This window comes from Homo sapiens, chromosome 19 (assembly GCF_000001405.40).
Source record: "Homo sapiens chromosome 19, GRCh38.p14 Primary Assembly".
Taxonomy (NCBI): domain Eukaryota; kingdom Metazoa; phylum Chordata; class Mammalia; order Primates; family Hominidae; genus Homo; species Homo sapiens.
Window position 1 is genome coordinate 47,444,522 of NC_000019.10, and position 26,568 is coordinate 47,471,089.

Consider the following 26,568-nt stretch of genomic DNA (forward strand, 5'->3'; position numbering starts at 1 on the left):
GGAGGGAGGGTCTCCCGAGACATGCTCCTCACACACCCTGACACACACAGACAGCTGCCGACACAGTGACATGCTGACAGGGTGACACACACACCTCTGTCGCTCACTCTCGCAGACATGCTGCGATCCGCTGACACACAGTGACTGACGTGCAGTGACAGGCACGTCAACTGCGCCTGGCAGGCGCACCCTCAGGGGACCCAAATGCAGGAGAAACCCAACGCGCAGGAAACAGCAAGAGGGACTCGAGCTAGACCAAGACAGGACTTCCTGAGATCAAAGGAAGCAGATTTCCTCCCCAGCCTGCCCCCTTGTTTCCTGAAAACTCCACTCTCCTGCCCTTCTCCCCTGCCAGTCTCTGATCTCAGACCCAGTCTCCTCATCCTGTCTCTCACTGACCCAAACTCCCTTTTCTCTCTGCAGCATCGTGAGAACCTCTCCTTCCCTGGGTCAGTCTCTCTCCTCCATGAATGTCTTTATCGCGTCTCCATCTCTCTGCCTTTCAGTCTCCCTCCATCTCAGCTTTCAATATCCACCTCTCTCCCTCCCTCAAAGCATCTCTGTCTCTGTGTCTCTTCCTTTTTTTCGGGGGTGGGGTGGGTGGGAGATGGAGTTTCGCTCTTGTTGCCCAGGCCAGAGTGCAATGGCGTGACCTCGGCTCACAGCAACCTTCGCCTGCTGGGTTCAAGCGATTCTCCTGTCTCAGCCTCCCGAGTAGCTGGGATTACAGGTGCATGCCACCAGGCCTGGCTAATTTTTGTATTTTTAGTAGAGACGGGGTTTCATCATATTGGTCAGGCTGGTCTCGAACTCCTGACCTCAGATGATCCACCCGTGTTGGCCTCCCAAAGTGCTGAGATTACAGGCATGAGCCACCGTGCCCGACCTCTAAGTTCCTGTCTTTCTGTGTCTCTGTCTCTCTGTTCTGTCTCTGTTTCTCTCTCCAGTTCTGTTATTCTGTCTTCAGCTCTCCCTGTGTCTATCTCTGTGTCTCTGTCTCTGTCTCTCATGCTCTCCCTGCCACCCCATCTCTGGGTGTCTCTCCTCCATCTCCAGCCCAGCTGCTTCAAAGCGCCTCTAATTAGTGCCTGCCCATCAGAGGAAGGAAGAGTTTCCCTAAACACTAATTAGCCTCCTGTTCTCTGTCTTCTGAAGCCACAGCTGGGAGCTTGTGGGGGTGGGGGACAGAGGGTGTCCCAGCCTGGGGAAGCCATGTGGGGGAGGACAGGGCCGTAAGGTTGCAGCAGCAGGAGGGAAGCAGGTTGGACTATAAGAAGGACCGGAAAAAGCAGAAAGAAAACTCTCCATTCCCCCATCTCTTGGTGTGAGAGAGGGGTCTGGGATGGTGCCTCTCGCAGCCCCCAACCCAAGTTCTCAACAACCCTCAGACAGAGACCAAGCCAGACAGAGAGAGAGAAGGAAAGGTGTGGAGTGTGCCTGAAATATAAGCTGAGTCAGAGAGCGAGGTGCTGGGGACAGACAGCTGCAGATGAACAGAGACGCAGAGACCCAGAGAGAGACAGCCCAGGGAGTGAGAGATGCAGAGATGCAGAGGGAGAGACGGAGAGACAGCGAGAGCAGTGAGAAGCTGAGTGCTGCCCGAGGCGGAAGCGCAGAGGCTGGGAGGAGGAGGGAGGGGGAGCGCGGTGGGGACTCCGCTTGAGTAGGAGGCGCGTGGGCGGCACGGAGGAGGGAGACAGACGGGCATGCGGGGGCGGAAGAGAGCGGGCAGAGGAGGGGCAGGCGCTGCCTGCATCCTGGGCAGGGGGGTGGGGGAATGTGAGGCTTCAGGCACACATTGGGGGACACTCGGTCACCTGTGTAAGGGGTGGCCAGGGATCTGGGCGTGAGAACAGCCCTGACTTAATAATTTAGTGTACGTGTCCGTGATTTTATGTGTGTCTGCGTGTTTTTTTTCTTTTTTTGAGACAGGGTCTCACTGTGTCGCCCAGGCTGGAGTGCAGTGGGTGATCACAGCTCACTACAGCACCTAACTCGTGGGCTCAAGCCATCTTCCTGCTTTGGCTTCCCAAGTAGCTGGGACTACAAGTGCACACCACCATGCCCAGCTAATTTTAAACAATTTTTAGCAGAGTAGAGGCTGATCTCCAACTCCAAGGCTCATGCCATCCTCCCGCCTCAGTTTCCTAAAGTGCTGGCACTACAGACATGCGCCACCACTAATTAGAAAAATTATTTTTAGAGTAGGAGTCTTGCTATGTTGCCCAGGTTGCTCTCAAACTCCTGGCCTCAAATGATCCTCCTGCTTCGTCCTCCCAAAGCGCTGGGATTACAGGTGTTGACCACCACGCCTGGCCCTGCCGTGTGTGTCTATGTGTGTGTGGTGCGTATAAATGGCTTTGTGTCCAATCTGTAAACGTCTGTCTACATGTGTGTGTCTGAGTGTATCCAGCCAGCCCACCTCCCCAGACCCCATTTTCCTAAATCCCAGCCCTCAGGCTCCCCAGTGTCTCCCCAGGCCCTGCCCTGCCTTCCCAGGCCCCCAGATTCCAGCACCATCTTTTCCCAAATCCTCGCCCAGATTCGCGTTAGGTGCCCCGCTATTTCCCCAGGTTCTTCCTCATACCCAGAAGCCCCACCCCTTCCCTAGCTCCGCGCGCCCAGGCCCCACCCATCTTGTTAGGCCCCGCCTTCTTCCGCAGCCCACATCCATTTTCCCATTTCCTGATGTCGTATGTCCAAACCCAGACCCCACCTATCGCCCTGGACCCGCCCCCTCTCCACAGCCACCGACAGCGTCTCATCTCCACAAGCCTCTCCCCACATCTCCCTGGGTACTCTTCAGCACACACTCCACGAGCTACCAATTAAGGCCCCACACCGCTCTCCCCAGGCCCCGTCCCATCTCTCCTCACCTCGTCCCCCCTTCCTCCTTGGGGCCCTCTTCTCACCTGTCCGGCCACCCTTCTAGGCCTCGCCTCTTCATTTCACAGTCACAACCCCACCAGGCCCCGCCCACGTGGTAGACACAGCACACCTAGGCCCCGCCCCTCCCGAGGCCAAGCCCACTTTGGAGAACGATTCACTCAGGCCCCTCTCCTCCTGAGGGCCCAGCTGTTCAGTGAAGCCCCGCCCACGTCGTGGGCATGGGTCACAGGCCCCGCCCACGTTGCGGGCACGGCCACGCAGGCCCCTCCCCTCCCGAGGCCCAACCAAGACCCGCCCACTATGTGGGCATGGCTCACCCAGGCCCCGCCCCTGAGCCACATCAGGCCTCGCCCATTCCGAAGCCCCGCCCCTCTCCGGGCCGCCTCGGGCGTGCTCACATGGTCTCGTCGTCGCCAAACTCCAGCTCTCCGCACGCGTCCTCGTAGTGCACGCCGCCGCCGCGCGCCGTGCCGTCCACCGTGCGGTAGGGAAGGCGCACGGTGCCGCGCGCGCCCGAGCTGCGCACGACGCGCACGTCCACGGTGCCCATGCACTCGCTCACGTGCAGCAGGCGGTCCTGGAAGGAGAAGATGCCTGCGTGGTCGTCGTCCAGGATGGTGACGGTGGCCAGCAGCGGCGCCACCAGCCGCCCCTTGGGCCGCCCGCCGCCGTCCGGCTCGAACATGCCCTGCGCGTCGCCCACGCGCAGGTTCAGCAGCCGCACGAAGAAATGCTCGTCCTCCTCGAAGATGTCGTCGTCGATGATGCCGATGCGCAGCTCCTTCTGCGTCTCGCCTGGTTTGAACACCAGCGTGCCCTCGCTGCGGCGGGGTGGGGAGGGGGAAGAGCGGGGTGAGGGTCGGTCATCGGCTGTGTGTTGTACGGGGGGAGTCTGGACGTGCTTCCCAGAGGAGACGTAGGTGCCATAGAAGAACTCCCAAGTATGAGGGTCGACAGGCATTAAACAAGTAATACTGAGGGTGAATCGGGGTGGGCGTCCTGGAGGAAGGGCTGCAGAGCGGGAACAAGACAGAGTGGGCCCCTCCCCGCGTGGAACTCGTGAAGAGCAGAAGGTGGGAATTAAACAGGTAATGATAAGGTTGAGATCAGGGCAGGCTTCCTGGAGGAGGCATTAGCAGGTGGGCATACTCCAGGCAGAAGGAACAGCACATGCAAAGTCCAAGAGTTGAGAGGGAGCCTGGGGTGTTCTACATCCCTGCTTCTCAAACCTTAATATGCATATGAATCCCCTGGTGGAGCTTGTGAAAATGCAGATTCTGGTTTAGAAGCTCCCGGGTTTCTAGAATCGCATTTCTAACGAGCTCCAGGGGATGTCCTGGTCACATTTTAAGTGGCAGGGATATAGGACCCAGAAAGGACTCTGTCATTCCTCTGATAAAAACCCTTCCCAGATGCCCCCAAGAGGAAGTCCATACACCTTAACTTGGCATCACTCATTCATTCAACAAACACTCCTAAGGGCACCCGTTGTGTGCCTTGTGCCGAGTGGTGCTGGGGACACAGCAGTAACCAGGCCCTGTCCTCACAGGGTTCACAGCCCCATGGGAGAGCCATATCACCATGACAATTGCACATTTAATGATTTAATTACGGTTCATTCATTCAACAGATAACTGACCGTTGTGTGCCAGGCATTGTTTTAAGTGTTGGGGGAACGGCACCAATAAGAAGCTTTGAGATTCTGTTTTAGTGCAGAAGAATGAACAATAAACAAACACAGGATGTCAGGTGGTGATGGTGCTATGGAGAGAAACAGGAGGGTAGGGAGTGAGGAGAGGGAGCTGTTGGCATGGTCAAGAAAGCCTTTTGGAGGAGGTAACATTTGAGCAGAGACCTGAAGGAGGGGAGGGAGTGAGCCATAGGGAGGATGCCTGGAAAAGAGTTTTTTGTTGTGTTTTGTTTTGTTTTTTTGAGACAGAGTCTCGCTGTCATCCAGACTGGAGTGCAGTGTCTCCATCTTGGCTCACTGCAACCTCCCCTCCCGGGTTCAAGGGATTCTCCCACCTCAGCCTCCCGAGCAGCTGGGACTACAGGCGCCTGCCACCATGCCTGGCTAATTTTGTGTACTTTTTTGTAGAGACAGGGTTTCATCATGTTGGCCAGGCCGGTCTCGAACTCCTGACCTCAAAAGATCCGCCTGTCTTGGCTTCCCAAAGTGCTGGGATTACAGGCGTGAGCAACCGTGCCTGGCCAAAAAGAGTATTTTTGGTAAAGGGAACAGGCAATGTGAATGCTCTGACCTGGGACTGGACAGCCGGACAGGGGACAGGATCTGACTTAGGGACGGGTCACCTCTTCGAGGAACTGCAGGGAGACCAGCATGATGACAGCAGAGGGAGCCAGGACGAGAGGGTGGAAGATGACATCACAGTGGGAACGGGGGCAGATCACCTAGGGCCTGGGTGGGCCACGGTGAAGACTTCTGCGTTTACCCTGAGTGAGGAAGGAGCCCTGTGAAGCTTCGTTCCGAGCAGAGGAGGGACACGAGCTGGCTTGGTGTTAAAAGAGTAACAGTTGTGGAAATCTCTGAAACACCCATAAGATACTCTGTAATGGGGGGAGCCGGGGAGGGAACAAGGCAGTGACATTAGATTACTCAGAGTGAAATTCTGAGGGGTCATGGAGTAAGTGGACTCTTCCTGGCAGGGCTGCAGACATCAGCGTGACTCTGGGATATTAAGAAATCTTGAAAATCTATCATTTCCCCCAATCCCTCCTACTGTGCATGTAAGGGGCTCAGCACCATCTCTGAACCCTGCTATGTGATCCATATGCATTCACTATCACTTTCATATTAAAGGGGTTCTGGGGCCGGGCGCGGTGGCTCACGCCTGTAATACCAACACTTTGGGAGGCTGAAGTGAATGGATGACTTGAGGTCAGGAGTTCAAGACCAGCCTGGCCAACACAGTGAAAACCCGTTTCTACTAAAAATACAAAAATTAGTGGGGTGTAGCAGCGCATGCCTGTAGTCCCAGCTACTCTGGAGGCTGAGGCATGAGAATTGTTTGAACTGGGGAGGTGGAGGTTGCAGTGAGCCAAGATCACGTCACTGCACTCCAGTCTGGGTGACAGAGCAAGACTCCGTCTCAAAAAGGTGGGGGCGGGGAGTCAGGCTCCAGTTTTCCAGCTCTGTGGGAGGAAGAGAGGGACCGCAAGGTTCTGGCAAGAGGTAGGGGGCATAGAACCTGGTGAAAAGACCTGCAGTGGAGGGATGAGGGAGTCCCTCAGCTCAGGATTCACTGTCCGTGGTGATGGAGCACCCAGGAGGGTGGGCTGACCTGCTTCAAGCCCAGTTTGGCCACCATGCCAGCTGTGTGATCTTGGGCGGTCAGGATTCTGCAGTCCTCTGAGCCTTGGTTTCCTTATCTGTGGAATGGGCTAATAATAGTGTTTACCTCCTGGCGCTGTGGTGAGGACTGAATTGATACAGGGGAAGCACCCAGAGGCACAGTTAGCTAGTGATATCCACATATTAATATCATAATCTTAGAGTCCTAAAAGTCATGGGATATGAGACATTTACATGTAAGGGATAAAGGGATCAGTAAAATATGGAGATTGTAGCACTATCTTTTTTTTTTTTTTTTTTTTTTTGAGACGGAGTCACCCTGTCGCCCAGGCTGGAGTGCAGTGGCACGATCTCAGCTCACTGCAACCTCCGCCTCTTGGGTTCAGGCGATTCTTCTGCCTCAGCCTTCCAAGTAGCTGGGATTACAGATGTGTGCCACCATGCCTGGCTAATTTTTTGTATCTTTAGTAGAGATGGGGTTTCACCATGTTGGCCAGGCTGGTCTCAAACTCCTGACCTCGTGATCTGCCAGCCTCGGCCTCCCAAAGTGCTGGGATTACAGGCATAAGCCACCGCGCCCAGACCTTTTTTTTGTTTTTGTTTGAGACAGGGTCTTGTTCTGTCATCCAAGCTGGAGTGCAGTTGCACAATCCCAGCTCACTGCAGCCTCGACTTCCTGGGCTTAAGCAGCCCTCCTGCCTCAGCCTCTCGAGCAGCTGGGACTACAGGCTCGTGCCACCACATCTGGCTAATTTTTATACTTTTGGTAGACATGGGGTTTTGCCATGTTGCCCAGGCTGGTCTTGAACTCCTGGGCTCAAGCAATCCGCTGGCCTTGGGCTCCCAAAGTGCTGGGATTGCAGGCATGATCCACTGCATACATCCTGTAGCATCATCTTTGCCAAACAATTAATCCAAAGATTTAGCAACATCTTTACCAAACAATTAAACTGGGCATCACAGTAATGGACGAGTGGACATCATGTTCCTCCTGATACAATGCACCCAGGGGGATAGAGCATCGCTTGCATGGGATTCCTGCCAAAAGTGCAGGACTCCAATCATCAGGAAGCATTAGACAAACCCAGATTGAGAATCATTCTAGTAACTGGCCTATCATCTTCAAAAGCATCAGGTCACAAAAGTCATGGGAAGGCTGAGAAACTGATCCAGACTGAAGGAGACTAAAGAGATTTGACAGGGAAATGCAATGTGTGGTTCTGGATCAAATGGGAAGAGAGGGCAGGAGTGAAAATACAGCCATCAAGGATATTACAGGGATGACTGGGGAAATGGAAACACGGGCTGTGCATCACTCAATTGACGTTGAGTTAACAGTATCAATTCAGTGTTAGATTTCTTGAGTGAGATCATAGTATTGTGATTAGGTAGGAGAATGCCATTATTCTCAAAAGATGCATGCTCAAGTATTTAGGCATGAAGGTCATGGTATTTGCAACTCGTGGTCACAGAGTGTCACAATTATTGTTATTATTTTATTATTATTTTGAGACAGATTCTGGCTCTGTCATCCAGGCTGGAGTGCAGTGGCACAATCTTGGCTCACTGCAACCTCTGCCTCCTGGGCTCAAGCGATTCCCCTACCTCTGCCTTCTGAGTAGCAGCGACTACAGGCACATGTTACCATGCCCAGCTTATATATATATATATATGGAGAGAGAGAGAGAGAGAGAGAGAGAGAGAGAGAGAGAGAGAGAGAGAGTGTGTGTGTGTGTGTGTGTGTGTGTGTGTGTGTGTGTGTGTGTGTCTTGGTCTGTCTCCCAGGCTGGAATGCAGTGGCGCGATCTTGGCTCACTGCAACCTCTGACTCCTGGGTTCAAGCAATTCTCCTGCCTCAGCCTCCCAAGTAGCTGGGATTGGACTTTAGAAGCCAGGCATCAGAATCATAGAAGGCTAGATTCACAGGACTTATGTTTCAGCACTGGACACAGAATCTGAGAAGATAAAAATCTTAAAGCCATCAAGTCAGAGACTGGATAGGGTTTGGATTAGAATACCAAAATGTTGGCTGGTCGTGGTAGCTCATGCCTGTAATCCCGGCACTTTGGGAGGCCGGGGTGGATGGGTCACCTGAGGTCAGGAGTTTGAGACCAGCCTGGCCAACATGGTGAAACCCCATCTCTACTAAAAATACAAAAATTAACCAGGTGTGGCGGTGCACACCTGTAATCCCAGCTACTCAAGACGCTGAGGCATGAGAATCACTTGAACGCGGGAGGCAGAGGTTGCAGTGAGCCGAGATCGTGCCACTGCACTCCAGCCTGGTCAACAGAGTGAGATGCAGTCTCAAAAAAATAAAGAATATCAAAATGTTAGAATTCTAGAATCTTAGAACTTCAGACCCTTAGTGTGTCAACATCATAGGGGATTAAATCTCAGAATCTTGGAAAAACTGTGCTGTTTAGGGTTCTCAGAGATCACGTTTAGTTTGGAGAAACTAAGGCTCACAGGTGTGAACCTGTGGGAAACTTAGAAAAAGAAAAAGGCTTTCCTTCTTCAAGACACTTATTTCCATAAGTCAGAAAACTCTTATAATAGAAATGCAAATCTACAATGTCCACTATGAAGAGAGCTTCCTCAGATATGGTGGTTTTATGCAGTGCACAGCTTCAACAACTGTACATGGCAGACCTGCCTGCTCAGACTGAGGCAGGAACTTGCCCAAGGAACAGGGTCCAGGGCTAAGCTCGGAGTGGAACCCAAGTCTCCTTCCTCCCAGTCTTTGGCCTAAGGTACCTTGATAAGGCAATGCCAGGCCTCGAATGTCTTCCAGGATAGGAAATCAAGGAAGGATAGGAAGATGTTGACTCTTCTTAGCCCTTTGGTTCCAGCACTGAACAGCATTTCCTCCTTCACTTCAAACATCTTGGTCCTGGCCAGGTGCAGTGGCTCACACCTGTAATCCCAGCATTTTGGGAGGCTAAGGCAGGTGGATTGCTTGAGCCCAGGAGTTAAAGACCAGCCTAGACAACATGGTGAAACCTTGTCTCTACAAAACATACCAAAACAACAACAACAACAACAAAAACAATTAGCCAGGCTTGGTGGCATGTGCCTGTAGTCCCAGCTATATTGGAGGCTGAGGTGGGAGGATTGCTTGAGCTTGGGAGGCGGAGGCTGCAGTGAGCCATGATTGCGCCACTGTGCTCCAGCGTGAGTGACAGAGTGAGACTCTGTCTCAGACAAAACAAAACAAAACCACACCAGCCTGGGCAACATGGCAAAAACCCATCTTTACAAAAAATATATAAATTAGCTGGGCGCTGTGGTGCACACCTGTAGTCCCAGCTACCTGGGAGGCTGAGATGGGAGGATCACTTGAGTCCAGGAGGTTGAGGCTGCAGTGAGCTGTGATTGTGCCACTGCACTCCAGTCTGGGTGATAGAGCAAGACCCTGTCTCAAAAAACAATAAAAAACAATCTTGGTCCTGAGGTCATTTGTAAGTGACAAAGTGGGCTGTTATCCCAGGAGGTGACACCTGTACTCACTTCCTTCTGCAAAGCCTCAGGGCTCTAGATGGGGACAGTGCGGACCAGGGGTGGGTAGGAGTGGAAAGGTGAAAAGATAGTTGAAAGCAGGCCCCAATATGGTGAATGCAGTTCCCTCAACTGAGGGCATGTGGATGATATGGTGCACTGGGAGAGGATGGACCGAGTGGCCAAAGGGATCCCATGCTGCAGGGTGATGGAACAAAGACCTGTGAACAGCTGCATTTTGTTTTGTTTTGTTTGAGACAGTGTCTCACTCTGTCACTCAGGCTGGAGCACAGCACACCATGCACCTGTAGTCCCAGCTACTTTGGAGGCTGAGGTGGGAGGATCAGTTTAGCCCAGGAGGTGGAGGCTGCAGTAAGCCAGGAAGGCTGGGGTGGGCAGGGTAGGAAAGGTGGATGGAGATGGGCAGACAAAAGGATCCTGGACTGACTGAGGTGGAGGGAAAGACCTGCAAATGTCCAAGCGCTGGAAAGAGAAGTGATGAGGGCAGAGAGGGAAGAAGACTGGCTACAAAAAGCAGCCAGGCACACAGTGGTGGAACTCAAGATCGATGAAACAGAGAACTGCCAGGTGCGGTGGCTCACGCCTGTAGTCCCAGCACTTTGGGAGGCCGAGGCGGGTGGATCACCTGAGGTCAGGAGTTCAAGACCAGCCTGGCCAACACGATGAAACCCCATCTCTACTAAAAATACAAAAGATTAGCTGGGTGTGGTGGTGGGCACCTGTAATCCCAGCTACTTGGAAGGCTGAGGCAGGAGAATCATTTGAACCTGGAAGGTGAAGGTTGCAGTGAGCCGAGATCGTACCACTGTACTCCAGTCTGGGCAACAAGTGCGAAACTCTGAGAAAAAGAAGAAAGGAAGAGAGGAGAGGAGAGAGTAGAGGAGAGAGAGGAGAGAGGGGAGAGAAGAGGTGAGAGGAGAGGAGAGAAGATGAGCGAACTGAGTCCCAGGAAGAGAAGGGTTAAAGGGATGAGGGATTGGCTGCTGCTTGATGGCAGAACCAAAGATCTGGGAACAGTTCAGCCTCAGCTGTACCCCAGGGAGAAGATTAAAGGGGGATGTGTCAGGCTACTGAGCAGGTAGAACCTCTGAAAAGCTCAGCCATTGGCCCTCTTTCTCCCTGTCTCCTGATTTATTTTTCTTCACAGCTCCTACCACTACCTGGCATTTTTATGTAATCAGTGTTTACTTCCTAACTGCCTGTCTTTCCCAGGAGAATGTCAGCTCCATTTGGGCCGGGACTTTATGAGTTTTGTTCACCACTAGTCGCCGGTGCCAGATCTGTTTGTTTCTTGCACATAGTAGACACATGATAAATGTCATTATGGGAAAGGGGAGACTTGTGCATGAATTAACAACACATACTGTTCAAAGCATGATGTAGGCTGGTGAAAATCATTGAAAAGAACATACTGTAAAGCTATAAGTCTTAAAATAGTGTGTCATGGACAGAAGAACTACAAATAGATGAATTTTGTGGGCCACATGAGGACAGAGATCTTATCTATCTTGGTTATTGTTCTAGGTTGATCCCCTAAATAAAGACATCTGGCACACAGTAGGTGCTCAGGAGGAACTGTTGAATGAGAGAATATCACAGATTTGCAAGGAGAGGGGTAAGGAGAGGGACTGGGGCTGTGAGATATGGTAGAGGGTGATGGGTGGGTTGCTTTATGGCACAACCAAAGACCTTTAGCCATCGTCTCTCTCCTCCACTCCTATTTTATTTTCCTCCATAGCACTTATTGCCACTTCAAGTTTTTATATGTTTAGTAGTTTATATCCTCATTGCAATTTGAGGGCAGGGACCTTAGCTGCTTGTTCCCATGGTACACCCATTGGCATACAGTGCATGCTCAATAAGCATTTTTACTTTAGTAATGGTGGGAGAAGGCTTGTTCTACCAGGTAGCAATACACATAATGGAGCTATAATAATTAAAACAGTGTGGCACCAGCACAAAACCACAGAAATATAAAGAATGCAGGAGGAGTGGTGTGAAGACTGAGAGTTTGTCTCATTCATCATGTGCACTGAATGCCTGGAGGCAGCACCTGGCACATGGTAGGTGCCCACTAAACATTAATGTTCCTATGCACATGAGGAGACAGCTGTTTTACCAGACAATAAAACACAGAACATGGCCGGATGATGGCTCATGCTTGTAATCCCAGCATTCTGGGAGGCCGAGGCAGGTGGATCACTTGAGGCCAGGAGTTCAAGACCAGCCTGGCCAACGTGGTGAAACCCCATCTCTCTACTAAAAGTACAAAAATAAGCCGGGTGTGGTGGCACACACCTATAATCCCAGCAACTCAAGAGGCTGAGGCACGAGAATCGCTTGAACCTGGAAGGCAGAGGTTGCAGTGAGCGGAGATCTTGCCACTCACTCCAGCCTGGGCAGCATAGTGAGACTCTATCTCAAACAAACAAAAACCCAGAGGTAGATAATGAAGGCGGGAGGTGTAGCCTTCGGATAGCCATGCTCTCTGCCTGGCCCAGAGGTGTGTGCCCCACGTCTAGAGCAGCGCCTGGCACAAAGCAGGCTCTCAGGAATGAATGAATGAACAAATGAACCAATGAATCCTGCAGGAGTCAGTTGGGAGGCGAAGAGCCTGGAGGCCGCCGGACGGCGGGACCCACGGCCTGCGCCAGCCCCCTGCACACCCCCCACCCCGGGGGACCCACCTGTACTCGTAGTCGGAGCCCGCCTTGGCAGAGCCGTCCTCAGTGCGGTAGTCCACGTAGAAGGTGCTGTTGCCCTCGCCGCCCTGGCACGTGACGGACAGCAGCACGGAGCCGCAGTTCTCCAGGCAGTGGTAGAGGCTAGGCTCGAAGAAGATGCGGCTGGCGCCGTCGTCTTCGTCCTCGCCCGCGCCCTCGGCCGGCGCCGCCCTGCGCGAGGCGTCCGCCGCGTGTCTGCGCAGCACGTTCCCGGCGCCGGTCATCAGCCGCGTGGCCTGGATGCGGTAGAAGGCGCGGCTCTTCTGCTGGTGCAGCAGCGCGTAGTAGTTGGCGATGCCCACCAGCTGCTCCAGATCCTTGTCCGGGTGCTTCTGCTTGAGGTCCTTGAGGATCTGGATGACCTCGCGGCGGCTGGCGTCCAGCTCGCGCGCCTCGGCGGGGCCCGGGCCCAGGCCGCCCAGCTCACCTGGGGCCTCGGCGCCCACGAACGTGCCGTCCAGCTCGATGCTCTTCGGGGGGTCGCCCTCGGCGCCTATGATGATGCCGCTGCGTGGGTCGGTGCGGTAGCGCTTGTACACGTACTTGTAGAAGAGCAGCCGCTTGTCGGCCATCCAGGCGAATACCACGCACACCGGGAAGAAGACCAGGGTCAGCAGCGCCTCCCACACCTGCGGGCGGCGGGCGTCAGGGCGAGGCCGGGCGGGCCGCCTTCTCCCTCCCCGCCTCTCTGTCTCAGTCTCTGTCCGCCTCTGCCACTCCTCATCTCTCTCCCCAACCCCCAACCCCGCCCCGTCGTCTCTCCCTATCCCTTTCTGTTTCTTTTCTTTCTTTCTTTCTTTCCTTTCTTTCTTTTTCTTTTCTTTTCTTTTCTCTTCCTTCCTTTCTTCCTTCTTTCTCTCTCTCTTTCTTTCTTTCTTTTTTTTTTTATTTGAGACAGAGTCTTTCTCTGTAGCCCAGGCTGGAGTGCAGTGGTGCAGCCTCGGCTCACTAAACCTTGAACCTTGGCCTCCCGGGTCCCGGTTCAAGCAGTTTTCCTGCCTCAGCCTCCCGAGTAGCTGGGATTACAGGCATGCGCCACCATGGCCAGCTAAGTTTTGTATTTTTTTTAGTAGAGACGGGGGTTCACCATGTTGGCCAGCCTGGTCTTGAAATCCTGACCTTGTGATCCTCCCACCTCGAGCTCCCAAAGTGCTGGGATTACAGGCGTGAGCCCTGTCTCTTTGTTCATCTCTGCCTCTCCCCATCTCTCTCTCCTCCCCACTCCCCGTCTCTCCCCACCTCTTTCTGACTGTTCATCTCTGCCTCCCCCCATGTCTCTCTCCCCTCTCCCCCAAGTTCTGTTCCCCCCATTTCTCTCTCTCCCTCTTCTTTCCCCATCTCTCTCCATCTCAATCTCTGTTCATCTCTGCCTCTCCCTGTCTCTCTTTCCTCCCCTCTCCCCGTCTCTCCCCACCTCTTTCTGTCTCTCTTCATGTCTGCCTTTCCCCATCTCTCTCCCCCGAGTTCTCCGTTTCCCCCCATTTCTCTCTTTCCCTCTCCATCTTGTTCTGTCTCTGTTCATCTCTGCCTCTCCCCCACTTCTCTCCTCCTCATTTCTCTCTCCTTTCCGTCCCTCTCTTAGTTTCTCTCAACCTCCCTCTTGTCTCTGTTCATCTCTGCCTCTCCCCATCTCTCTCCCCCCATTTCTCTCTCTCCTTCCCCCCATCTCTTTCTATCTCTGTCCCTCCCTTTTTGTCTCTGTTTGGCTCTTGCCTCTCCCCATGTCTGGACGTGTCTCCATGTCCTGTTATATCCTGGTAGATCTCCATCTCCCTCCCTTGTGAGTTTCTTTCTTTTTCTCTCTCAATACCTGTGTTTCTCCAGAGCTAATTTTTTCCCCTCTCCCGTCACCGTTTCTCTCTCTCCTTTCCCTTGTCCTTCTCTTAGTTTCTATTTCCCTCTTGTCTCTGTTCACCTCTCTCTCCCCATCTCTCTCTCTCCTTTCTCCCACCCCTTTCCATCTTGTTCTGTCTGTTCGCCCCCTCTGTCTCTGTCTCTGCTCATCTCTGCCTCTCCCTATCTCTCCCCACCCCCTTTTCTCTCTCTCTCCTTGCTCCCGTTCCTCTCCATCTCTGTCTCTCTGTTCCTCACTTATTCTCTATTTCCCTCTCATCTCTGTTCACCTCTGCCTCTCCCCATCTCTCTCCCTCCCCTTCCTCCCATCTCTTTTTAACTCTGTCCTCCCTTTTTGTCTGTGGCCTCTCCCCATCTCCCCCACATTTCTCTCTCTCCATCTCGTTCTCTCTCTCTCTGTCCCTGTTCGTCTCTGCCTCTCTCCATCGCTCTCTGCGTGTGCTGCTGTCTCTTTCCCTCCTTGCCTCTGTCTCAGCGGTTTTCTTAGCCTTTCCTCCTCCTCTGTCTCTCTCCCTGGCTCCCTCTCTTTTCTTGTTGCCTCGGTCTCCTTGGCTCCATCTCCTTCTTTTGTATCTATTGGTAGATATCTATTTCCCTCCCTTGTGAGTTTCTTTCTCTTTCTCAGTATCTGTGTTTCTCCAGAGCTACTTTTCTCTCTCTCCCTCCCTCTCTCTCTTGCTCCCCATCTCTGTGTGTGTGCACGTGCGTGCGCGTGTGTGCGCATGTGTGAGCGTATGTGCATGTGTATATGTGTATGTGCGTGTGTGTGTCCTGTGTGTGCGTGCTTGTGTGTGCATGTGTGTATGTGTATGTGCGTGTGTCCATCTGTGTGTGTGTCCTTCTGTGTGTGTGCATGTGTGTGTGTGCATGGGTGTGTCCTTCTGTGTGTGCGCGCATGTGTGTACGTCTGTGTGTGTATGTGTACGTGTGTGTCCATCTGTGTGCATGTGTGTGCATGTGTGTCCATCTGTGTGTGTGTGTGCGCACATGTGTGTATGTGTTCTCTTTCTCTCCTAGTCTCTTCATCCATCTATCCACCTTTTAGATGCTGAGAACCATGCCCAGCTGCCCAGGTGCCAGGAACCCGGACATCCTCATCCACTACCAAGCAACAGACAATCCCCACCCTGTGGTCCCAGCTGCTGTCAAGGGACAGAGCCTGTGTGTCTTCTGGCCTCTCTCTCCCTCCATCTTTTTTCTGCCTGCTCCATTTCTCCCCCATCACCTGGGGGTGCCTCCACTTCTCCAAACCTCGCCCATCATCCAGGGCCTGCTCTCTGTTCACCCAAACGCCCTCAGTGCCCCACCCATGACCCCTACCAGTGCCTCCTTAGCATTTGCCTGGCCCTCATGGACAGGCTGTGTCTCTAACAGAGACACACATCTGGCTCTTCTGCCTCATAAAACCAGTTCCCATGCACAGCCAGGGCAGCTCTGAGTTGGGAGCCTGGCTTTACCACAGGGATGGCTGTCTCATCTCTTGGTCTATACAATGGGGACATTTCCAAGACTGAATGAGCACCTGCATTCCTAGTGCACAGCATTCTCAGTTTCTGACACATGGAAAAGACTCAAGATGTGAAATTAACATTGCCTGGCCAAGCGTGGTGGCTCACGCCTGTAATCCCAGCACTTTGGGAGGCCAAAGTGGGTGGATCACCTGAGGCCAGGAGTTCGAGACCAGCCTGGCCAACATGGTGAAACCCCATCTCTACCAAAAATACAAAATTAGCCAGGCATGGTGGTGTGCATCTGTAGTCCCAGTTACTCGGGAGGCTGAGGCAGGAGAATTGCTTGAGCCCAGGAGGGGGAGGTTGCAGTGAGCCGAGATCACGCCACTGCACTCCAGCCTGGGTGACAGAATGAGACTCCATCTTAAAAAAAAAAAAGAAAGAAAAAGAAAAAAAAGAACATCGCCATCGTTATTATTTAGTACTATTATCTTGGGCTTGCAGAGGCCTAAGACTCAGTCTGCTGGTGGCCCAGCACAGGCCTGGCACATGGAAAGCATCCACCAAGACTCGAGGGTTTGCCTTGAAGATATTCATGGAAAGACTCAAATGTTACCTTTCTCATCAAAGATGAAGAAGAAAAGATAAAAGAGTATTTATGGGCCAGGCGTGGTGGCTCATGCCTGTAATCCCAGCACTTTGGGAGGCGGAAGTGGGTGGATCACGAGGGCCAACATGGTGAAACCCCGTCTCTACTAAAAATACAAAAATTAGCTGGGCGTGGTGGCAGGCGCCTGTAATCCCAGCTACTTGGGAAGCTGAGGCAGGAGAATCGCTTGAACCCGGGAGGCGGAGGTTGCAGTGAGCTGAGATCACCCCACTGCACTCCAGCCTGGCGACCGAGCGAGACTCTGTTTCAAAAAAAAAAGAGTATTTACGATGACAAGGCCCCCGAAGGCCAGGCACAGTGGCTCACGCCTATAATCCCTGCACTTTGGGAGGCCAAAGTGGGTGGATCACTTGAGCTCAGGAGTTCAAGGCCAGCCTGGCCAACATGGTGAAACCCCATCTCTACTAAAAATACAAAAATCAGCCAGGTGTGGTGGCGTGCGCCTGTAATTCCAGCTATTAGGAAGGCTGAGGCAGGAGAATCACTTGAATCTAGGAGGCGGAGGTTGCAGTGAGCTGAGATTACACCACTGAACTCCAGCCTGGGGGACAGAGTGAGACTCCATCTCGAAAAAAAGAAGGCCCCCAGAGTATCTTAAAAATGAGCCTGGTAGGAAAAATATCTAAGATCCAGTTGCCACACCTGCTATCACTGTGTTTACTGCTGGCTCAGAGAACAGTCAAGACTTGCAAATAGTAAAACTGCATGAAGCCAACAGGCAGATTTGGGAAAAGGAGCCGAATGTTCAGCGCAAGCTGTGAAATGAACTCTCTCCCTTGTATTAATTGAACCTACCATTATGTATATTGCAAGGAAGTCTCTATTCATCAGAAGACAATCCCAAACCCCTAAGATTTTCCTTCCTCCCTGCAGGTCAATAAAAAGTGATTCTAGCCGATTCACAATGTCTTTCTAGAGCACCCACTAAGAATGTGTCCAGCCTGGGAGGGCACTGTGACATTTTCAGGTCTCAGTGGAGCAGGCACACCCCTGAGACAGAGTATTGGAAATCTGGGGGTATTTATGGGCTGCCATCATCACTAGGGAGGGGGACATGGTCTTGGCCTTTCCTGGCCTGATGACATCCAGCAACTCATGGGACAGTCCCACACAATACAGAAATGTCCCACATGCCGGCTCATTTCAGAACCTGCCACTAACATTCTTATCCGCACGGGACAGTCCCACACAATGCAGAAATGTCCCATATGCCGTCTCATTTCAGAACCTGCCACTAATGTTCTTATCCGTGAAAACACTGTTTATGATAGTTAGAATTTATAACTCTGTTTTATGTATTTCTTTCTTTTTCTTTTTCTTTCTTTCTTTCTTTCTCTTTTTGAGACAGAGTTTCGCTCTTGTTGCCCAGGCTGGAGTGCAGTGGTGCAATCTCGGCTTACCGCAACCTCCGCCTCCCGGGTTCAAGCGATTCTCCTGCCTCACGCTCCCGAGTACCTGGGATTACAGGCATGCACCACCACGCCCGGCTAATTTTGTATTTTTAGTAGAGTTAGGGTTTCCCCATGTTGGTCAGGCTGGTCTTGAACTCCTGACCTCGGGTGATCTGCCCACCTCAGCCTCCCAAAGTGCTGGGATTACAGGCATGAGCCTTTGCGCCCGGCCTATGTATATCTTTTTTAAATTTCTTTTTTTTTTTTTTTTTCTGAGATGGAGTCTCACTCTGTCACCCAGGCTGGAGTGCAGCGGCTCAATCTCAGCTCACTGCAAACTTCACCTCCCAGGTTCAAGCGATTCTCCTGCCTCAGCCTCCCAAGTAGCTGGGATTACAGGCGCCTGCCACCATGCCCAGCTATTTTTTGTATTTTTAGTAGAGACAGAGTTTCACCATGTCGGTCAGGCTGGTTTCGAACTCATGACCTCAGGTGATCCATCCACTTCGACCTCCCAAAGTGCTAGGATTACAGGCGTGAGCCACTGTGCCCGGCCTTATGTATATCTTATATGAAGTATTTTCCTGTATGGTTTAACATACTGCAAATACACTTGTTTTAAATCTCGTGGCTACCTGCTCCTCTGCCTAGACTTCTTGCATGCAATGGTTTCTGATCTTTTTCTTTCTCTGAAGCCCAGCTTATTCATTATAAATAGATGCCTGCATCTGGCTCCCTTGTCATGAGGGTAGTTGTGATGAAGCATTTCCAGGTGGAAATGCAGACTGTTCTGTTAGAAACCTTTTCTTTTTTTTTTTTGAGACGGAGTCTCGCTCTGTCGCCTAGGCCTGAGTGCAGCGGCGCGATCTTGGCGCACTGCAAGCTCCGCCTCCCGGGTTCACGCTATTCTCCTGCCTCAGCCTCCCGAGTAGCTGGGACTACAGGCGCCCGCCACCACGCCCGGCTAATTTTTTTGTATTTTTAGCAGAGACGGGGTTTCACCGTGTTAGCCAGGATGGTCCCTATCTCCTGACCTTGTGATCCGCCCGCCTCAGCCTCCCAAAGTGCTGGGATTACAGGCGTGAGCCACAGCACCCGGCCCAGAAACCTTTTCTTTAGGCAGGGCACAGTGGCTCACGCCTGTAATCCCAGCACTTTGGGAGGCTGAGGCGGGCAGATCACTTGAGGTTGGGAGTTCGAGACCAGCCTGGCCAACATGACAAAACCCCGTCTCTACTAAAAATACAAAAATTAGCTGACGTGGTGGAACACACCTGTAATCTCAGCTACTCAGGAGGCTGAGGCAGGAGAATCGCTGCCTCAGAGCGACAGAGAAAGACTCTGTCTCAAAAAAAAAAAAAAAGAAAGAAATAGAAATCTTTTCTTTATAACACAGTTTGGACATTATACTGACTTTTTGGGAAGCCAAATGCATAGGGGAGTTTGTTAATGAATAGCTAACATTTACTCTGTTTCAGGCAGACTATTTTAAGTCTTTCCACACGGAACAATTCAGTTAATCCTCATGGTAGCCCTATGAAGTCAGCACTCTCATGATCCCCATTTTACAGTTGAGGAAACTGAGGCCTGGAGAAGATAAGGAACCTGCCCTAGGTCACACAGTGAGGGAATGGCAGAGGTGGGATTTGAACCCAAATCTCTGGCTTCAGGTGCATGGATCAAACTCTGAGGCCACAAGATCTCTCTTTGATTACCTAAGAATTTCATATCAGCAGAAATAAAGGGGATGTAACAAAATATCTGTTATATTCTCCTTTCTTCCTTTTCTTTCTTTTTTTAGATAGAGTCTCACTCTGTCACCCAGGCTGGAGTGCAGTGGGGCCACCTCGGCTCACTGCAACCTCCACCTCCCAGGTTCAAGCAATTCCCTTGCTTCAGCCTCCCGAGTAGCTGGGATTACAGGCGGGTACCACCATGCCAGGCTAGTTTTTATATTTTTAGTAGAGATGGGGTTTCACCATGTTGGCCAGGCTGGTCTCGAACTCCTGACCTCAAGTGATCTTCCTGCCTCGACCTCCCAAAGTGCTAGGATTACAGGCATGAACCACCACACCTAGCTTCAAAGGCCTTTCTGAAAGCCTAAGTCAGGACACCATTCATTTTAACAGCACCTTAAACTGTACGATATATCACTGCACACTTTTCACCATGGCAGATGGGAAACTCTCTCCTCTTTCTCTCTCCCTCTTTCAGGAGCCCTGTCTTCTGGTGCCACTGTCCTCCCCTTTCCTCACTGTGGCTTCTGATCCCTCTGTTATATATCCTCCTTCACAGAAAACCCACAAGGCATTTTTCTATCTCTAGCTTCAGATCCTTCCTGGGAAGAAACTGTAACTGGCAGAAACCTGACAGATAGGCAAAAATAGATTACACACATGTGTGAATGAATCCTGGACACCTGCAAATAAATTATGCATGTGTGTGACTGAATTAGGCCAGGCCCATAAATAAATTATGCAAATGTAGGAGGCAGTCACGGGGTTGTGGGAAATACATTAGGCAAACGTTGTCAAGGAAGACTACATAGTATGCGAGTTAAGACATGGGGTGAGCGAAAGGCTAATGATTATGAGAATATAGGTATAAATTATGCAGCTGTGGGTCTAAATTTTGTCTCACTATTGGAATAAATTATGCAAAGTGGTCACAGGGCTTATATTGATGTTGGGTTGGATGGGAGTATACATTACACTGAAGTGGCATAAATTATCCCAACATCAGAAATTGATGATGAATAATGAATGAATTATGCAAACCGTGATTACATATCTGGCAAATGGCTAAATTATGCAGATGTAGGTATATATCTATGCGAGCCCATGGATAAATTATGCAAATTGCACTAAGTTACTCAAGCCAATTAGCAATGTCAGAAAACACTAGGCTGGATTATATGCAAGGGTAGTATGAATTATGCGAATGGAGGATGTCTTATTGCAAAAGCGGGAATCAGTTATGCAAAAGGTAGGGAGTGTAGGAAAACATGTGAACATACGTAGCATGCATTACACAGATCACAGGGGCTCCGTTAGTACATACAACACCCTTTTGGGAGCTAAAAGGTGCCCCTTCCAAGTGAGTGTACTGTTCTTAAGTGCAAAACAGTGCGTCCCTCTGGACAAATAAATGTTTGCTGCACCCTCCAGAGATATGGCTGGGTAGCATCAGCAGGACTCCAGCCCCTCCAGCAGGACTTGCCCTGTTTGGCTCAATTCCCTTGTGTAGTCTGGTGACCTGCACAACCGTACTTGGCAGCCCTCTCAGATGTGAGTGTGCATTTCTGCAAATACAGCAATCAACACTCCAAGCCAAGAGCACCTCTCTGGATTTTGCAGACACACATGCACCAAGAAAGCATCTATGCGTCTTTGCTCACCTGGACCACACCGGGGGAAAAAACAGCAAGGATGAGATAAAGCCAGACATAGGCGAAGATGCTCCAAGAGGCAGTGACAAAGAAGACTCTCAGGTGCTTGATCTTGCGGCTCTCGCCGGCTGGGATGACGTAGATGCACACGGCGATGACCACAAACATGTTGAAGGCAGCGCTGCCCACGATGGTGCCTGGGCCCAGCTCACCCGCCTGGAAGTTGTGGCCGCAGACTTCGATGACTGACAGCAGGATCTCAGGTGCGGAGGAGCCCAGGGCCATGAGCGTGAGGTTGGACACCGTCTCATTCCAGATGCGAACGGTGCCCACGCTGGTCTCACCGTTGGCCTTGGTGATGGTGATCTCCTTCTCTTTTGACGTGATGACCTCGATGGCCGCCATGAAACGGTCGGCGATGATGGACACTCCCAGAAACATGTAGACCATGGCCACAAAGTACACCACTGCCCGTGCCGCCTTGTCACCCAGCGACGGGTCGTCGGGCTCCCACACGGGCAGCAGCACCCCCGGCTGGCAGCGGTAGGACCCCTGGCAGCCCCCTGTGCTGGTGTCGCTGTCATTGGCCGGGGGAGGCGGCAGGGAGGGGGTTGGGGTGGCTGCCCCGGAGCATGGGGGAGCCGCCAGGAGGAGTGTGACCCCCACCAAGGCCAGGGGAGCCATGGGGGGTGGTGGGGTCCTATGGGGGAGGAGGAGGAGGTCTGGGTGAGGGAAGCAAACCTCTTTCTGTCATACAAAGGTCAAAGCTCACTGGGGAAGGAGGGTTGGGGGAGAAGCTGAGGACCAATGCAGGCAGGATGGGGACTGAGGGCGACAGAGACACAGAGAGTGACAGACAGAGACCCACAGAGAGAGAGAGAGACTGAAAGATAAGGACAGAGGAACCCCCATGCACTGCTGGTGGGAATGCAAATTGGTCTATGCACTTTGGGCAACTACAGCCGAACACCACGTATCATGCAATTCAGCAGTTTTGTTCCTCGGTATGTGCCTGAGAAATAGGTCCTTATGTCCACTAAAAGGACCTACAAGAATGTTCATAGCAGGCCGGGTGCGGTGGCTACGCCTGTAATCCCTGAACTTTGGGAGGCTGAGGTGGGTGGATCAGGAGTTTGAGACCAGCCTGGCCAACATGGTGAAACCCCGTCTCTACTAAAAATACAAAAATTAGCTGGGCAGGGTGGCGGGAGCCTGTAACCCCAGCTACTCGGGAGGCTGAGGCAGGAGAATCACTTGAACCTGGGAGGCGGAGGTTGCAGTGAGCTGAGATGGCGCTACTGTACTCCAGCCTGGGTGACAGAGTGAGACTTCATCTCAAATAAAATAAGAATGTTCATAGCAGCTTTATTTATAATAGCGCCAATCTTCAAACAACCCAGAGGCCTATCAGCAGTAAAATGGAGAAATACGTTTGGAGGATTTGCACAGTGGAATATTATAGAGCACTGAAAAGGGAGTGAACTATTTGCTGCTGCACCCAGCACATGGATGAATCTCACAGATGTCACAATGGCTGAATGAAGCCAAGCACAAAAGCACTCAAACTGCAAAATTCACTGAGAGGCAGGGAGCAGGAGGCTCTGAGTTTGTTAGGAGATTCAAATGGTCTCCAACTCGGCCCTTTGAAAGCTCTTGCTCAGGATTTGGGCTGTGGCGGGTGTTGGGCCGTGTTTGTCTGTTTCAAGTGGGGCTGGGGAGGGGTTGCTGGAGGGTCTCATTCATGTCCCTCCCCAAGGTGGTAGCAGGCATCAGTCTCTCCAGCTTCCCTGTGTCTGACCTGAGGTTTTCCCCAGGCTCTATAAGTGGTGCAGTTCCTTAGGGGCTGTGACATCTAAGACCCTGTGCTGGGCTTTCTGTCCCATTTGTGGGTGTGGGGGTTCTACTGTTTCATTATTTCTCTCCCTACCTCTGGTGCTGAGTTTGAGTGGCTATTACCGTGTCTTATCTGGGTTTCCTTTTAAAACACAAATCGCTGGACACGGTGGCTCACGCCTGTAATCCCAGCACTTTGAGGCTGAGGCGGGTGGATCACTTGAGGTCAGGAGTTTGAGACCAGCCTGGCCAACATGGTGAAACCCTGTCTCTTCTAAAAATACAAAAAAAAAAAAAAAAAAAAAAAAGCCAGGTGTGGTGGCGTGTGCCTATAATCTCAGCACTTGGGAGGCTGAAGCATGAGAATCGCTTGAGCCAGGGAGGCAGAGGTTGCAGTGAGCCGAGATCATGTCATTGCACTCCAGTCTGGGCGACAAAACCAGACTCTGCCTCAAAAACAAAACAAAACCAAAAACAAAGCCCACAAATCAGCTTGCCTCATCCCCCTACTGTTCAGAACCCCCGCCAGCTCCCATCTCACTCACAGCACCAGCGTCCTCTCCAGGGCCCGTGAGGTCCTGCCCAACCTGGCCCCGACTCCCTCTCTGGCCTCTTTTCCCACCCTCTCCCCCTTGCCCAGTCTGCCTCAGCCACCCTCTCCTCCCCTCTGCTCCTCAGCCTCACCAGACAAGCTTCTGCCTTGGAGCCCTGGCACCTGCTGTTCCCCCTTCCTCGAACACGCTTCTCTATTTATGTATTTTTGAGACGGGATCTCACTCTGCCACCCAGGCTGAAGTGCAGTGGTGCCATCACATCTCACTGCAGCCTCGACCTCCAGGGCTCAAGCGACCCTCCCTCCTCAGCCTCCCAAGTAGCGGGAAGTACAGGCGTGCGCCACCATGCCCAGCTAATTTATTGTAGAGCCGGGAGTCTCTATGTTGCCCAGGCTGTTTTTGAACTCCTGGGTTCAGGTGCTCCACCTGCCTTGGCCTCCCAAAGTGCTGGGATCACAGGTGCGTGCCACCGTGCCCCGCCCACTCTTCCCCTCATATCCGCTAGCCTTGCTCTCTCTGCCCTTTCAGGTTTCCACTCTGATGTCAGCTTCCCCAAACACCCCATCCAAAATGACACCCTCCCCCTCTGGGGAGCACCCCTCCATTCCACAGGTGAGAGGACCAAGGCGCAGAGAGGTTACGGAACTTGCCCACATCATCCAGCACCAACTCTGGCTCCCAGGTCGCCTCTCCAAGAGTGGCCCTGACTCTGAGCTCCTCCGCCCCACCCTCATGTTGCCATGGTAACCCAGTGGCTTATCAAAAAGAGAAGGAGAGAGGAAGAGAGGTGTCCTGGGAACCTCCACCCTCCCAGACCCCTCTGCCACCAGCCTCATTTCTTCCAGGGGCTTCCATTTGCTTGAAAAGTTCTTCTGAGAGTCTAACCCACAGCCTGTCCCCAACTCACACCTACATACCCATGGGCTGGGAGCTGGCTCCTCTGGGGGAGGGAGGCAGCGTGTTGGCAGAACTTCCCAAGAAGGAGAGAGCAAGCGAGGAGCATGCCTGTGTGCGTGTGTGTGTGTGTGTGTGTGTGTGTGTGTGTGTGCAGGCAAGGGTGGGGGAGAGGGGTGATTCTTAAAGGGCCACCGCACAATTAGCCCCCTCAGCAAGGCCCCTAATGATACGTCTAATTAGCAGCCCCCTAATTAGCAACAACTTAGGCATAATTACAAACCCACCAGGATCCAAAGCAAAGGCTCATGCTCCCTTCTCCCTCCGCCTCCCTGGCTTTCAGGAGAAACAGGGGCCAGCCGGGAGTCAGGAATTCTTCTAAAGCATCAAACCAAACCCCGCTCTCTCTGGGAGGAAGCCTCGGCCTGGGAAGTCCTCCCTCAGGTTTAACCACCTGTCCTTCCTGCTGCAGTCCTCAAGAGAGACCACAGCCAGGTGATGCGGGTTCTCATGTCCACCCTCCTAGCCCAGGGGCTGGGTCAAGCACAGCCTAGTGCAATCCCTTTTTCCTGCAAAACCTGGTTTCTCGCTGGGGCCTTGCGAGAGGAGCAGTCAGGGAGAGAAAGCACTAGATAAATATTTGTGAAATGAATGACCAAGAGGTCTGAGCCCTGTCACCAGGGACCGTGGGCTCCCTCTGCTCCTGGCTCCTGCCTCTCCCTCTCCATCCACCAGCAGCCCTGAAACCCAATCTGCTTTTAGAATCCAGGGGCAAAAGGATCAGGTGGAGCCCAGGGTGGGAGCGGGGAGGGCAGATGGCAGGTACCGTCTCCCAGGGCCATCTCTCCCTCCCTTCGTGGGCGTGCGGCCAGCTGGGTCGGCAGTGAGCACCCCTGTTCTGCCTCACGTGCCTCTTAGGTCCTTGATCAGAAGAACAGGACTGCATGCCTGGGGGTGGGTGCAGTCTGGCGTGCCAGGTAAGACCCGTCCTTCATATCCCTCACGCTACCACCCCACAGTGGGGCGGCAAGGGAGGGTGCTTTTCTGACTGTGCCTGTGTTGGGGGGCTGGCCCTTGCAGGACCGAGCTGGGGACTCAGACTTCTAAACATGCACATTTACTGCCCCAGCATGAGCGCAGGCGCTCCCATCACCTCAAAATGGTCCAGTGTGGGGATCACACCACAGAGCTTGGGTGCTCGAGGCTGTGATACACTGATAATACGTAAACTGAGGCCCAGAGGAGGAACAGGGCTCTTAACCTAGTGCTCTTTAAAGCCATCTGAAGCCCCCTCCGTGGGCACTGTCACACAGGGCTGGGACCTCACCTGCAGCCAGGGAGACATCATACACACACACACACACACACACACACACACACACACACACCAGGGCTACAGGCACAGCCTCGTACCTTTTCGCCATCACTCACTCTCTTGCCCACCTTCTCCAGGGCCCCCTTCTCTCAAGGAAGGCAGACAGTGTGTTGGCCAGGGCCCTCTCAGCACCCCCCACTGAGACAGTGTGAGGCTGGCACACCAGGAAAGGGATGGAAGTGAGACTGCAGGAAGGACTGGCCCGGTCTAACTCAGTACCTAGTGCTTGCCCAGAGCAGGAAAGGCGCTCAGTAATTATCAACAAGAATGAATGAATCAAGAGCTGGACAAACAGCAAGAGGTATGGAAGTGAGACGGCAGGAAGGACTGGTCCAGTTACACGAGGAAGACTGGGGAGGTTAGATTGAAGGGAGGTCTGGTCTCATCTCTACTACAGAGGCTACCGGTTAAACTGCAAGAAGGACCGGCCTCAGAACGCCAGAAACAAGGCAGGGGGAGGTGGGCTCGGTCCTCAGGGGAGAGCTGGGGTGGGTGCCGGCTGGGAGGAGTGGAGAGAGCAGGGGAGCTCTGCTGAAGTGGGGAGAGGAGTTTAGAGGACTCCAGGCCTGGGGGAGCCCACTCTGCGGGTGGGGGGGTCTAATTCCTCCAGGTCCCCCCTGCCAGGGGCGGAGACAAAGGTGTGTGGGAGGAGGGTGCACTGGCTCCCAGGGAGAGCCAGAGAAGAGGAAAGAGAGAGAGAAACAGAGACTGAGA

At 52.6% G+C, this 26,568-nt stretch overlaps 1 protein-coding gene across 1 annotated transcript in view, besides 5 other annotated features; it reads right to left on the reverse strand.

The window, feature by feature from the left end:
• SLC8A2 (solute carrier family 8 member A2) overlaps positions 1–26,568 on the reverse strand; it is a 43,877-nt gene that overhangs the window by 16,505 nt on the left and 804 nt on the right. Inside the window, exons 2-4 of the mRNA NM_015063.3 lie at positions 21,208–21,898; positions 12,409–13,073; positions 3,288–3,710 (exon numbers count right to left, since the gene is read on the reverse strand). Coding sequence (NP_055878.1) covers positions 3,288–3,710; positions 12,409–13,073; positions 21,208–21,882 — 1,763 coding nt within the window. The 5' untranslated portion in view covers positions 21,883–21,898. The remainder of the gene's footprint in view (positions 1–3,287; positions 3,711–12,408; positions 13,074–21,207; positions 21,899–26,568) is intronic.
• Positions 1,690–1,739: a silencer, noted in NCBI's record as "silent region_10853". NCBI's record gives its function as "represses an Ori minimal core promoter by ATAC-STARR-seq in GM12878 lymphoblastoid cells {active_cell/tissue: GM12878}" and the evidence as "EXISTENCE:reporter gene assay evidence [ECO:0000049][PMID:35858748]".
• Positions 2,126–3,051: an enhancer, noted in NCBI's record as "H3K4me1 hESC enhancer chr19:47949904-47950829 (GRCh37/hg19 assembly coordinates)". NCBI's record gives its function as "activates a minimal SCP1, AML or CMV promoter by ChIP-STARR-seq in primed H9 embryonic stem cells {active_cell/tissue: H9 hESC(primed)}" and the evidence as "EXISTENCE:reporter gene assay evidence [ECO:0000049][PMID:30033119]".
• Positions 2,946–3,015: a silencer, noted in NCBI's record as "silent region_10854". NCBI's record gives its function as "represses an Ori minimal core promoter by ATAC-STARR-seq in GM12878 lymphoblastoid cells {active_cell/tissue: GM12878}" and the evidence as "EXISTENCE:reporter gene assay evidence [ECO:0000049][PMID:35858748]".
• Positions 23,923–24,422: an enhancer, noted in NCBI's record as "H3K4me1 hESC enhancer chr19:47971701-47972200 (GRCh37/hg19 assembly coordinates)". NCBI's record gives its function as "activates a minimal SCP1, AML or CMV promoter by ChIP-STARR-seq in naive H9 embryonic stem cells {active_cell/tissue: H9 hESC(naive)}" and the evidence as "EXISTENCE:reporter gene assay evidence [ECO:0000049][PMID:30033119]".
• Positions 24,851–25,145: a silencer, noted in NCBI's record as "tiled region #3844; K562 Repressive non-DNase unmatched - State 20:ReprD". NCBI's record gives its function as "represses a minimal TATA promoter and a strong SV40 promoter by Sharpr-MPRA in K562 cells {active_cell/tissue: K562}" and the evidence as "EXISTENCE:reporter gene assay evidence [ECO:0000049][PMID:27701403]".